General features: G+C 34.2%; 1 protein-coding gene across 2 annotated transcripts in view, besides 1 other annotated feature; it reads right to left on the bottom strand.

Annotated features, from left to right (window-relative positions):
• The window catches only part of GALNTL6 (polypeptide N-acetylgalactosaminyltransferase like 6), a 1,228,156-nt gene that overhangs the window by 1,037,283 nt on the left and 176,455 nt on the right, over nt 1–14,418 (bottom strand). The gene's annotated exons all lie outside the window — the stretch shown is intronic.
• Nucleotides 10,547–11,081: an enhancer, noted in NCBI's record as "OCT4-NANOG hESC enhancer chr4:172914347-172914881 (GRCh37/hg19 assembly coordinates)". NCBI's record gives its function as "activates a minimal SCP1, AML or CMV promoter by ChIP-STARR-seq in primed H9 embryonic stem cells {active_cell/tissue: H9 hESC(primed)}" and the evidence as "EXISTENCE:reporter gene assay evidence [ECO:0000049][PMID:30033119]".

The raw sequence follows: 14,418 nt of genomic DNA, 5'->3' as shown, positions 1-14,418 counted from the left end.
CTTCTCACCCATCAGAAAAGGAAGACAAAAGGGAAATTTATTGAAAATCTTTTGTGGGGACAAACTATTAATCTTAATAACTCTTTGCAGTTAGGAACAAAAGGTTTAATTTGGCACCAAAGAATAAATTATTGTAAATCAGATGATGATAAACTTGAAGCTAGAGCTTGAAAGTTGTCCACTTATGAATATTACTAGGAACTAGGTATGCAAACAGTTGTATCCTCTTAGCTCTGGAAAGAGTTCCACAAGTGATAACGATTTATGAAAACTTGATTCATATTCTCTGATCACTTGTACTAATTATACTCAAAAGCCAGAAATTGACCAAAAATATTTCCGTAAATTCAGTGCAGGAGTCATAACCTTAAGAAATGCTTATTTAGATTATTTTGGTTTGTATTTTTCTTTTGATACAGGTACTTCTGACAGCTAAATAAGTAGGGTGTAAAGACCTTCTTTTGATTAGCCATACAATATAATGGAAATTGAATAAGTCTCCTAGGTCCAGAAATGAAAAGACAGCTGAAGGCACCATGACTGAGGACATTAACCAAGACATATGTAACCATTTTAGAGCCCAAACGGTCTTTCGAAGGGGTGATGAAATTAAAGCAACCAACCATGACATTTTAAAGAATTATCTGACATAGAAAATTGGCTTAAAGATTGAATATTATTTTGGTGATAGCTGTTGAATATATGAAGGCTTAAAGAACAAAGCTGCCCTTGACTAAAGCTTAGAGAATATTAAAACTGTACACATTCTACTATTAGAGAATATAATTAAGAGAAACGTGAGGAACAGCATCATGACTTAGAGTGAACTCAACATGGACAAAAGTTACATAATAAAATGTATAAAATAATGAAAAGTTTTTTTCTGTTCTAACTGTACTTTGAAGTTTATTTAAAATAATTGTGTATGATGTTCCTTTTTCTCCCTTCTTAGAAAGTCCTAGAAATTTAGATACAGAATGTCCTAAAGAAATAAAATCTTGATAGATGTGTGTAATGATTGTCATGGTAATAATTTCAAATACAAGTATTACTCCAAAGAGTTTTCATATGGTTATAAAAAATGCAAAATTGTCTGTATTTTTTATTCAAGCAAACGATATGTAAATCCTAAGAACAACACAAAAGCTGCTGGAAGCCATCAGGAAGCCAAAAGCCATGAAAGAAGCAAGAAGGAGATCTTTGACAATATAGGAGAGAAGAAGTACAATACCACCTCTTCTTACCACCTTTACTCCCTTAATCGATAATTGATTAATGTGCCAAAATGATACTGTTATTGACACCATTAATTGTGTTACATGTAGCCTATAAAAGCTCTCAATTGCTCCCCTCACTGCCTACTTCACAATATAAGGTTTTGAAATGGAATCTATTATTTTTGCCACCAGAATGGGAGAACCATCCATTCTCCACCTCTTATAACACGTGTTCTGTGGGAGCTCCATCTCCCAGCTCAGATGTGAAGGGAATCAAAGTATGTTCTTCCCTCAAGGATTATATTAGGGATGGACCCATCACTCAATCAGGACCAATGAAACATTTTCTGAGATATTGAGAAAGTAGTTATCACTTTTTCTAAGGGGATTTGAACCGAACCCAAGACTGTGTAGCTTCTCTTAAAATGGGAGTTTTGACTAATATTCTAAGACAAAAGAGATTAGTGAAATGTTAATACTTAGTAGAACTCAAATATAGTTAGTATTACAGATCATTAAAAAAACTTGTATGTCTGGACTGCTATAACAAAATATCATAGACTTTGTGGCTTATAAACAACAGGAATGTATTTCTAACAGTTCTTGAGTCTGGCAAGTTCAAGATCAAGGCAGGGGAAGATTTTACCTTTGGTGAGCATCCACTTCCTGGCATATAGACAGCTGTCTTTTCACTCTGTGCTCACTATTTCTCATTTATCTCTCAGAGGCCTCTTTTATAAGGGCACTAATTGCATTAGTAAGGGCTCCACCCTTGTGATCTAATTACCTCCCAAAAACTTCACATAAAAATAAACACTCACATTGAGGATTCAGTTTCAACATATGAATTTGATAGGGACCAAGAAAATTCAATCCATGGCACTCTTAAACCTCCTTACCCTCTTTAAATATAATAAGGCCTACCTGTTGAAGTTGGCAAGATGATATATAATCAGATTTTCTTTGGATAGCTCTGTGAGAAATTCACCTTCCTAAAGGGAGAGTGTGGTGGGTGGTAATTTTCCCCCACCATAAGCCTTATATAGGGACTTCATTTGGATGGCTTGGGGAGTTTTAAATGTGTCTGTTGCAGTTAGGGAGAGACACAGTGGGCCAGTGTTTAAATCATATCTGGAAAATCGCAAAGAGCAGGGACAGCTATGAATTTAATAATGGGTCTGAAGGAAAATGTTGTTCCTGTTTGGCAACAAATTACAAACCTGTACTTTGGCTAGGAGAAAAATTCATGTACGTTTCCTGTGATCCAGAAATGATCCATGGGAGAAAGAATCTACCTGAAGCAGCTTTATCTTACGAGTAAGAAGAACCCCTAGAGAGGAGCTTGAATGCCCATATATAGTGCTTGCATAGAGCGGACTTACTGAAATCCAAAAGTTGAGGGAGGTTCGGGCAAGCAAAATTAAATACCATGCCTCTGCTTTTGATGAAACCATTAACAGTATCCTCTAGGGAAATAATCAAAGCAAGCAGCTTATTGGCCCAGAAAGCAAATAATATCTTAAAATGTCATTGTCAAGGAAAACTAAACTTCATGTACTCTTACTGCCTCTCCAAGTCTATTCTGAACCCATCTCCTTTTCATTTTATCATGAAGCAAGTTCTGTCTGAATATCTGAAATGGAGGCCCCACAGAGGACAGAATCAAATGTAAATTATAAATGACAGTATTTGTACCCTTGCATCAAGCTATCCTGATATGCAGTGTACTCTGGACTTTTCAGTACTGCTAGTAGTACTTAAATTATTTTGGGATGGGCTTTCCTCCAGTTTACACTGAAAGTATACTAATTGGATATAGTTGGGATGATAACTAACTTCTTTCTTCTTAATGTCAAACAATTACATTTTCTAAAAATAATATCTTCTGGAAAATATTTCAGATTTCTCAACTCTCTTTTGTTGCGAAGATTCTTTATACATCACTAATTACAACGATTACAATGATGACTACGTACTATTACAACTACTATTACAACAACTATTCTCACCACTGCTATTGCTATGACCAGACTGATAGAATGTAACACAGAGAGTAATGGCAAGCAGGTAGAACATATCTTTCTCAACAACTTTCTGCCTTCTGAAAGTAAGATTGGGATATGCAACTAGTTGTGGATAGTTCTTGGCTGTGGTGATGTGTGCTACTTTCATGCTGAAGTAATACAACTTCTCTGCAATTTTCTTGTTTCTCTACCTATGCTACACAACGGGAAGAGCATGAGTTCTAGGATATGCCCTGATGAGGTGGCAGCTCCTCCAATAGTCTGGATCTCTCATTGACTGCACTAAGCAGAATCCTCTTCCTATCAATTTTAGATATATTTAGAAACAAGGCACAGGTGTCTGTGGATATATTTTTCTTACCATAACATAGCCTAACTTACAATAGCAGAAACTGTCAGTGTCCTATTCATATCCTCTCTCTTACCCTGGAGTTCACCTGCAGACTGGTCCCTTATGCACAGAGCACAGACAGCTTCCCACCTTTCCCTGCTTCGGCAAGCTTTGAGACTGCAGGGAGCTGAGGGTGGTGATAGGTGTGGCATACATTCAGGACAATAATTGTACCAAAGGCAATGCTTAACCCACAAGGAATGGAAATTGATGGATAAACACCCTAGATCCTCACTCTTTGGTGGGATGATTCTGAGATATGTTCTGCAGTCCTCAGAGGGTCTCCTCCAGAATGAACTCAAGTTATCCATATTCAATGAACATTCTTTGGGCAATTCAATTTATCTGTAAGCAGGAAGATTCTGACCAAGGAGAGTTTATTTTCCATACTGCCGGACCTCATTAGTCATAATTGTTCAATTATATCTCATTTATTTATATAATCATTGAGCATTTAACAAAATTCTTTTATTGTTCTATGGCTCTTCAAGAATGTACTGAAGACTGAGTTCTGGTGAACTCACTGAATATTGTTTCATGTTTTCTTCCTGAGATCATAAACACTCATTGTTCTAAACACTCATACTCCGTATATGCTGATGCTACCACAGGTGCAGGACCATCATGATTTGAATAATTCTCCAAAAGAAAACTTTTACTTTCCCACCATATTCCATAAACAAATTGTCATATTGCCTACATTGTGATGAAAATACAATCTCTTACATATTATGAATATCGGTGTTAGGCTATGTTAGTAATTGGAGATCTATGAAGACATTCAAATGCAAAATTAAGAGTTGCACCTTTTTGCTTCAAAGTACAAAAATATTTGCAAAATAATAAGGACTTTACAGCACAATACAAGGACTTAAACTTTTTTTTAATTTCAGAGTTGTAAGAATCTGTCATATTTTTAATCAAATGTGTAAGAACCTGTAAAGTGAAAATAAAGCTAATATAAATGTTGTCAGAAATTGTAGTTGATGTGTCTTAGTTTACAATGGTAGTAGAGAGATGAACATTTTAGATGTTTTCAAGGCACTGGAAATGAAATCAAACTACCATTGCTCCCAGTTAAAATGCAACACTTCACACAATAAACAAACATTCTATGTCCTGGAAGCCAATATTAAACCAACTTATTTTCTTGTGATTTAAAGACATTATGGTCACTGGACCATAATCTAATGCAGGAAGTAATACAATTATTAGCCCTTCAACACCAATCTCTTCAACCTCCCCGGAAATAGCACACATTTACAGAAAACCATTTGCCATTATTTCTATGAAATATATTCTTCATTTAAATGTGTTTGTGTTAAAATTTAAACGCAAGTTACATTTCTTTTTCATAGGCAATTGTAGAGGTCATTATGGTGTTAGCCCTCAAATCTAGTCCACCTCTCCACCACTGTTGTTTCCATAAATTTGGGGGATTGACTAGGTTTGACCTCAAAGTTCATCACAATACCTCTTTCTCTTCCTAGTAAATAACATAGGAATCAGGCTAAGCTTATTGAGGGACATGGGATTGCTTCAGGAATGGAAAAGTGACCTTAGTCAAACAAATGAAATACCAAAAGACGTTTCCTGAGGGACTCAGGGAGGAATTATGTCATGCTTAAAGAAAACCTCAGAAAGTACAATTCCTTCTTCCTCTGGACATTACTTGAGGGTATGAGGCTGTAATCTTCCCCAGGAACCAGTCCTAGGACAAAGGCTGGACATAGCAGAGGGTGGACCTGACAGAATCACTAAGGATCGGAGCCAGGGTAATGGGATTAAGCCAACTCTGAAACATCTCTAACAACCATTATTTCAGTTTTGCGAAATCTGTACATGTTTTTGCTTCTACTTTTGTTTGTAAGAATTTGGTTTGTTGGGTGGTTATGTGTTTGTTTTTCTAACTTGTGGTTAAAAGCGTTTTAGCAGGCATGGAAGTTTTCATTGCATGCTTTACCATTACCTACAAATAATTCATTATTAAAATAATATTGCAACAACAAATAACAAAATGGAGAAACATAAATTTCACTTTTGGATGGTTACAAGCTAAACTGTGTCCCCCAACGTTTATATATTTAAGTCCTAACCCCCCACTACCTAAAAATGTGACTGTATTTGGAGATAGGACGTTTAAAGAGGTTAAGTTAAAATGAGACTTTTAGAGTGGGCCATAACCCAGTCTAACAGGTGTTTTTATAAGAGGAGTTCAAGACACTCAGGAGACTATGTGGAGAGGCAGCAAGTGGTCTGACATTCACAAGCCCAGGAAAGAGGCCTCAAAGGAAGCCAACCTTGCCAGCACCTTGATTTTTGACTCATTAGACCTCCACAGTCACATGAACCAATTTCTTAAAATAGATCTCTCTTTCTTTATATGTAAACACATTCTGTTGGTTCTGTTTTGCTGGAGAAACTTAATAGATGGACTAAATGACACCTATTTCTAGATGCAACTGAGTGACAATTAAAGTTATGATCAGTAATTACTAAAACTTAGCATTGCTCATGATTTGTTTTCTGTTCAGTCATCCACATACAACATGTGAAACAACTTCACTTTAATATCTAATGGGGTAAAAGAGGCATAGGATAAGAACCCATGCTACAGTAAGATGTGGCCAGCCTCTTCTCTGCCTCCCAAAACACTGGATGATATATAAACATAATTAAAACATCATATAAGAGTAAGAGGCACCACTGAGCTTTCTGAATACTCCTGTGGGAGTTAATGTTAGCATGGATGTTAGTGTGGAAACACGTTCCTAACTTTTTCTCCCTGAAGGTCCTACCCTGTGACAATCTTTAAGAGCCTGGAAAAATGGCTCTGATATCTGTCTCTCTCTCTCTTTTTCATGTTCCCCACTCCCAACAACTACCCCTCTCCCTAGTCTTTTATGTTCTTTCCTTAAGATGTTTATTTGGGCTATTACTTGTATTCCTTATGAAAGAAAGTCTACTACAGATGGTCTCTGACTTACCATGGTGTGACTTAATGATTTTTTAAAACTTTATGGATGATGCTTTGAGTATCCATACAACCATTTTATCTTTTACTTTCAATAAATCACACAAGATAGTCAACACTTTATTATAAAATAGGCTTTGCATTAGATGATTATGCCCAACAGTAGGCTAATATGAGTGCTCTGAACATGTTTAAGGGTAAGCTATGATGCTCAACAGGTTGGGTATATTAAATTCATTTTCTACCTACAATAGGTTCAACTTACGATGGGTTTATCAGGACATAACCCCATCGTAAATCAAGGAGAATGGGTGCTTCTCTTCATAAAGTAACTTTGATGGGTTGATATTTGCTGTGTTCAAAAAATCATGGATAATGGAATCCAAGAAGTGGTAAAAGCTGATTGGTATGGAGCTAGGGAAGTTGCCCCTCTTCTGGGAGTCTTGATCCAGGTCAACAAAGCATGGTTTGCTCTACCAGGTTGCAAACTCTCTGAAAGTCATTTGCATGCAAGTTCAAATATGTTTTCCAAAGAGCACACTTACATGAAGAAGACAAGACCTATTCCAAGTCTCCTTTCCTTGAAGAGATAATCAAGAGTATTCTGCAGACAAATACAATGTTCTTTCTGTTGCCTGCCCCAATTCCAACACTTGGATAACTAAGAACTGTAGTTACTTACAGATGGCAAAGAATGTTGTTTGTTATGCCTCTGTCCAATCAGAGACAAGTTTCAAAATTCAGATCTAGTTCTATAAACTTCACTAGTAATTATCTGAGAGAAATATATCTAGGTGTTTATTAGGCACTATGCTATTACTTTAAAGCAAGCTTGTTCAACCCGTGGCCCATGGGCTGCATGCGATCCAGGACAGCTTTGAATGCAGCCCAACACATAGTGGGTAGACTTTCTTAAGACACTGTGAGTTTTTTTTTTTTTTTTTTTTGCTCGTCAGCTATTGTTAGTATATATTATGTGTGGCCCAAGAGAATGTTTCTTCCTCGAATGTGGCCCAGGGAAGCAAAAAGATTGGACACCTCTGCTTTGAAGAATATAATAATAGTAAAATAATAGCATTATTAATAATCCTAATAGTAACAGCATCTTTTAACATTCTTCTCCTGTGACAAACGCACAGTCTTGCTTTTAATTATAATTTTAGCTACCTCTACTAAGAAGCTATTATAAATATATTGCAAATATGAAAACAGGATAATAGTAGTTGATTGGAGGTATTGACATAACTTAGGTCCTAAGTATGTTAGAAATCTGATTTATAAAATAATGGTCCATGAAATATCACATCAATACAATGCAATATAGATCAAGGGCAAATAGAATTGTTCTTGTTCAGATTTAAAACTCGGAAAATGGAGCTACTGCTTTTGAAATGCACATTAGAAAATAATTTATAAATTTGGAAATTGCTTTCACTTTACAGAATTTTCCATATACCAAATAAAGCATGACATTAAATGATAAATATCATCATATTTCCTAATAAACATGTGTATCACTATTTCAGAGAAGCACCCACTTAATGTTAAGTGTACGGATTCAAGAATATGGGCTGTTAAATTTCTGTTTATGTAAGCAAGTGGGCAGGATGACAGCAGGAATGGGCTCGTAAGAGGCCATTTAGAGGAGCTGTATAAAATGAATCTTAATGGAAAATGAAAATTTCATGCCCCAATTGTGGGTAATATGCCTTTATCAGTAGTATTGGCTCTTTATTCTGTACAATGGTTGTTAAGTGTTATATTATCAACTTTTGTCAGATGTTACTAAAGGCACTTTAAAACTGTAATGTGTAGCACATGGTACATGGACTTTTCTAAGTTGTTATCCTACTACCAACATAATATTTTGGAATATACTTTAAATGAATCATTTAGCTTCTATTGTTACAGTTCTATTTTTTATCATAAAAGTAATTTAAGGTTATTTATTATTAAAATATTTAAAATGAATACTAAGGTAAAATTTCTTCATAATTGCATCTGCCAAAGGAAACTGCTCTAATGTTTGTATATTCTTGTGTTTATTTGTTCTTATACTAATGTATTCTTTCTAAAAGTGGGAAAGACTGCACATACTCTTTTTTCACTGGTTTTTGTCACATAATAATATATTAAATATCTTTTCAGATGAATACATTAAAAAATGTATTGCATTCATTACATTATGGAGATACGTTAATTTTTTTGTGTGGCAAATTCTGTACAGAATAATTTATTATATGTTTTCTTCAGTTTCGGTAAAATAAACAATGCTTCACTGAACCTCATTAGGCTGCATCTTTTGCTCACTGTTAGGTATGTTTTTAATTTCTAGGAGATGGATGGAAACAAATAAATATTTAAACGGTTAAAATGTAAAGTTTTCATCCAGAAGTGGTGAATGTTATGATCTGATTTCAAATTTAGGCAACCTCTCTTTATGGTTGATATTCTTTCTATTTAACACCATCTCATTATAATTAATTTCTATGAACAAAATGTCTCATAAAACACTTTTTTCTGATTACAATCCCATCAGCATATATAATAATATGCATTTTACTATTGTTTTAATAAAAATAGGAATTATAATTTTCTATAATTTTATGAATTTTATAAGAACAGTTTCTAAGTCTTTCCATTTTTTGTATATATTTCTAGAGAGTTTATTTTTATGTCTTATTTGATCATTTATCATTTTAATTAAATGATTGTTTAGGTTGTCACTTTTTAAATGTTTAGTTGATATTTTGGAAATATTTTTTCACATAAATAATTAGTTTCATTGCTGGCATTATTTTCCTCGTTGCAAATTTGTTCACTCTAATTCTCTCCAATTCTAGTTTTTTTGCTTCCAACTATTTATTTTATGGCCTCTGAGTTTTCTGGGAGTACGAATAAACTATTTTTAACTGACTTAGATATTCCTGGTTCTTTTTTTTTCATATTTTGTATTGCAATAGCAATAACACAGCAACAAAACCAACAACTGTTTTGTTTTTATTTCAATAGTTTAGGGAGTACAGGTGAGTTTGGTTACATGGATACGTTCTTTACTGGTGATTTCTGAGATTTTAGTGTGCCCATCACTCGAGCAGTGTACAATGTACCCAGTGTGTAGTCCTTCATCTCTCATCCTCCTCCCAACCTTCCTCTCTAAGTCCCCAAGTCCATCATACCCTTCTAAGCAATAAGTGTTTTTTAATATGCGTGTAGAGTACCCATGTTCATTAGGACACAGCTCTGATCTAGCTAGTGAATGGGTAGGATATCCTCACTACTTGAGAATAAACAACCATTAAATATCTATCAGGTCAATCAGTTTTGGGTACACTTGACCTGACTCATGTCATTTCCAGGCTGGCTCATTTAATTGCCAATTAAGACCACACAGAGCCTTCTGCTCTAGTATTAGCAATGTTTGAGTGGCCGCTCCAACAGTCTGGGTGTGGTCTGAAATCACTGATGTGCTACAGTTGGCTGTTATCATTCCATATCCTAGACCATCTTGATTGATACTGGTAGTTTCAATCACCATACTTCTATAAAAATTAATTGAGAAAAACAAAGGGGCAATACACTTGTAATCTTCTACTCAATCCATAAGAGAGTTCAATGACATAACAATATAAAGGGATGAAGACACTTCTTTTATTACTTCTTGATCTTTTCAATTCACCAGCATTCTTTAATCCCAGGAACAAAATTTTGTCCTCCAACCCCAGCACTTACGTTATACAATTTTCTCATCTGTCATAAAAGTATTTTAGTTTATTTAATGTTATGTTCATCTGTCTTATTTTCTATTGCATTTTTACTCCACATGTGTGTGTAATGTCTTTACATTACATATATATACATATATATGTATATATATATAATGTCTTTCTCCAAGTTTTCCATGCTCCCAGCACTCTCCTTTTTGCCTTCTTTCATACTGTAAAACCCATTAACTTTTCTTTCATAATACTAACTATGACCTCTACATGGACCATACTCACGTGTGCATCTCTTCCAAATCATCTGCCTTATTTTTCAGTCCTCTACTCTAAGTACATTGTTTTATCTAAACCAAATGGATGCTGAATTCATCATTTGGCTAAATATTCATTTGGCAAGAACAGAATTGATCTATTGTTAAAAAGTTATTCCTCTATTTCTTAGCTGTCCATTGACAATAGGGTAAACTTCACACTCCTCAGATAATCATTAGCATGACACAGCTCCGTTGTCCTTAGTTAACTCATCCCATTGCCTGGCAGGAAGTTCTCCATACAGTTGAACTAACATGTGTCCTGTTAGCATTGCCAATATTTTCTGGTTCTGTCTCTTCATCCACAGAAAAAATATCACTTATCACATAATAAGCCTGTAGATATTGGGAGAAGATCCTTGCTTTCCATACACAACACTATTGTATTGTCACAATAGCACATGTGACAACATATGAACTATTTTTCTCTTATATATACTTATTCTGACTCTCATCATCTTATATGTGTTTACCCATTCCATTGTCTGAATTCTATAATAAGAATAATTGTGCCTCCTGAAGTTACAATTAAATATGCCGTGTTGTTGGGGAGGGAGTTGGCAGAGACGAAAACAGATTATTACCATCTCAAGGGGGGACTTAAAGGATGTATGTAACACAAAGAAACTGCAATGAGTCAGAGCAAAACAAAGAAGCAACTCTGAGAAATTTAGCATGAGCTTGGAAAAACAGTGAAATGTAAGAAGTAGATGAAAATTAAAAGAAATGAGTGTCTGAAGGCATAGTATGAGATTGCCTTCACCAATCATTTTCTTAAGACACTTCTGCACATACAGATACTCATCAACATGCTCTGTTAGGAAAGGTCATTATTTATAATGAGGTCAATTAATTTCAACTTATGTTCTATGAAACCCTAGGCTACTTAGGCTTTCTAGTTTCTAAAACAATGAATTATTTTCTCTAGAATAAGAGATATACTCTCTTAGGAAACTTGTTTACTGCAAGATTTTATTTTTTAAAATATAGCAGTTGTCTTTTGAGAAATCACTTTTGTAGCTTTCAAGAAATAAATCTGCATTACAGACCGAATCAGAATTCTATTTCTCATTTTCCCAACTATCAGTTTTATCAGATACTAGGTAGAGTAAGAAGATCTGAGTGGGGCAGTGTAATTACAAGCATATGTATCCAATTATAATTGCAATATTACCTGTTCTGCACTGGTCCCATAAGAAATTCATAGACTTGAGACTTCAGAGAAAAGTGACTTTCATTTATATAGGTGTACATTATATGGATAACATGAGGGTAATTAACTGAATGGCCTCTGTAATTGGGACTGAATCAATCTTCATTCATTCCTAGTAAAAAATATACTCAGGATTAGGGAACATAATAGGATGAATAAAAAGAAAAAAAAACCCAGCAGTATAGATCAGTTCTTTTGTCAGCAAGTTGAATTGAATTCTTTTAGGATTATTTCAAGAACATGCATGCAGATTCAAATAGCATCAATCTAATTGGCAGCCAATTCACTGCTTTCCACTGAAAAGATATCTGAGTCATGAATTGCGATGAAAATTAAATTTGCTTTCAGAGCCATAATATCTGATTCAAAAAGCTGTAAGGAAAACATTGTAATTCGTTCTCACAAAAGAGAAAAAACTTTGCCATAATTGTTGATTAGTTACACTTCATGGTCTACTCAAGAGCTGGTCTTGTATTAGTTGTTAATAATGTTCATTTTATGGATTTTTTTATTTGACAATTACACAGTTACTTATTGACATAAGATTGAATTGCTATTTTCTTGGATTTTATTTATTTCCTCAAATATTCACTAAAAATATAACCATAGTAGCAAATTTTGCTCAAATATGTAATATACATAATCATATATATATGTATATATATGTGTATATATATATATATATATATATATACACACACACACACACACATATAATCAAACTCAACTTCTGGTCTACTTATAGATTAGAAATAACTAGAAACTGATAATCAATCCTCTCACATACTAATTTCTCAAGTATTCTTTCCTTTGCCTTTGGGCTTTGAAGTGATAATCCACTGAAATAATGGCTTCTTTTTACACAAATACTGCACTCTATTAATTAAGGTAGCTATGTAAAAAGTCTTGATATTTGTTAGATTGATTCATTCCTTCTTCTGTTTTTTAGGTTTCTCTTGACTATTTTTGTATACTTACTCTCTGTTAACGACACTTCAAATTAAGTTTTAAAAAATCACCACAGAAAAAAATCTTGATATGGTTTTGATTGGCACTTCATTGAACTGTGAGATTTGGGAAATATTTCAGAAAATAATTTTTGGCATACATTTTGGAAAATTTATATTCTTGCTTTAACACCTTCCTATTCATACCTCACCTTAATTTAGGTCTTTCTGTAAAACCTTCACTAATCCTCATAGATCTTACACATCTTTTCTTAAAGGTCTATGACTATCCAATGTCTTTTGTTGTTGTTACAAGAGAAATGTTTCTTTTAATTACGTATCTTGATTGTTTTTTCATTGATCTTTTGGAAGGTTATTAATTTTTTCATGTGGCTCTTATGAGTAGCAACATTGCTGAAGTCTCTCAGTTCCATGAGTGTAGATGAGAACTTCTTTGGTTTTCTACATCGATAGTCATAAGCTTGGCAGAAAATTCTGATGCTTTTTTCCAATCTGCATATCTCCTGTTTTATTTTCTTCTTGTATTGCATAGGCCAAGACAGCCAGAGCTTGTTGAACAGACACCATTTAATTAACAAGCTTATTTCAACATTTACAGCAACATTTAAAACAATATTTGCTTTCAAATTTCCAGTAGATATCATATGTCAGCTTTATCAAATTCTATTAATTTCCTAAGTTTGTGTAACATTAAATGCTTTATAAAAGATGCATTGTTTCTCTTTTTAAGTTTTACTCCTAAGAACTACATTTCTTGACTTTTTAGTTTGTATAATCATTGCATTCCATCCACCCATTAACCTAGAATTTTTGTATGCATGCTCATAATTAAAATAACTTTAAAAATGTTTTTTTATTACTATCGTGTGATAGGGAATGCAAGGATGAACTAAACACTTCAGACAATTAGGGTCACTTTCTCTTTTTCTTCATTTTCTGATATAAAGTATCAGAATAATACAAAGTAGCAGAATAATAAATTGATTAAGAAGGCACCTCTGAAACCCACTGTTTGGGTTCACATTCTGTTTCTGCCTCTTACTGTTATGTGACTGTGTAGATTACTTAACTACCCAATTTCTTTCTCTTGAGTTTAATTTCTTCAACTGTAAAATGAGGATTATTTAATAAATGAGTATTGAAAAAAATAAGTGAATTAATAAATATGAAGTACTTAGAAGGCTGCCCAATACATGGTATGCACTTGATAAATTTTAGCTAATTTTTATGCAAATGTTTATCAATAAAACACATGAAGATTATAAATAAAAGGAAGTAAATTTACTGTCTGGGTAAGAGGTTAAATTCAATGTAGATAATGTTATAAGCCTTCTCCCCAGGCTGCTCCTCAGCAGGCCGAGCTAGGTCCCAATTCTTCCTTAGCCTCCACTCCTCCACCCTATAATCCTTTTATCACCTCCCCTCCTCACACCTGGTCCAGCTTACTGTTTCCTTCCGTGACTAGCCCTCCCCCACCTGCCCAGCAATTTGCTCTTAAAAAGGTGGCTGGAGCTAAAGGCATAGTCAAGGTTAATGCTCCTTTTTCTTTATCCCAAATCAGATAGCGTTTAGGCTCTTTTTCATCAAATATGAAAAAC

This window comes from Homo sapiens, chromosome 4 (assembly GCF_000001405.40).
Source record: "Homo sapiens chromosome 4, GRCh38.p14 Primary Assembly".
In the NCBI taxonomy this organism is placed as follows: domain Eukaryota; kingdom Metazoa; phylum Chordata; class Mammalia; order Primates; family Hominidae; genus Homo; species Homo sapiens.
Note: the sequence above shows the minus strand (reverse complement) of the source record. Positions and strands in the feature narration are given on the sequence as shown.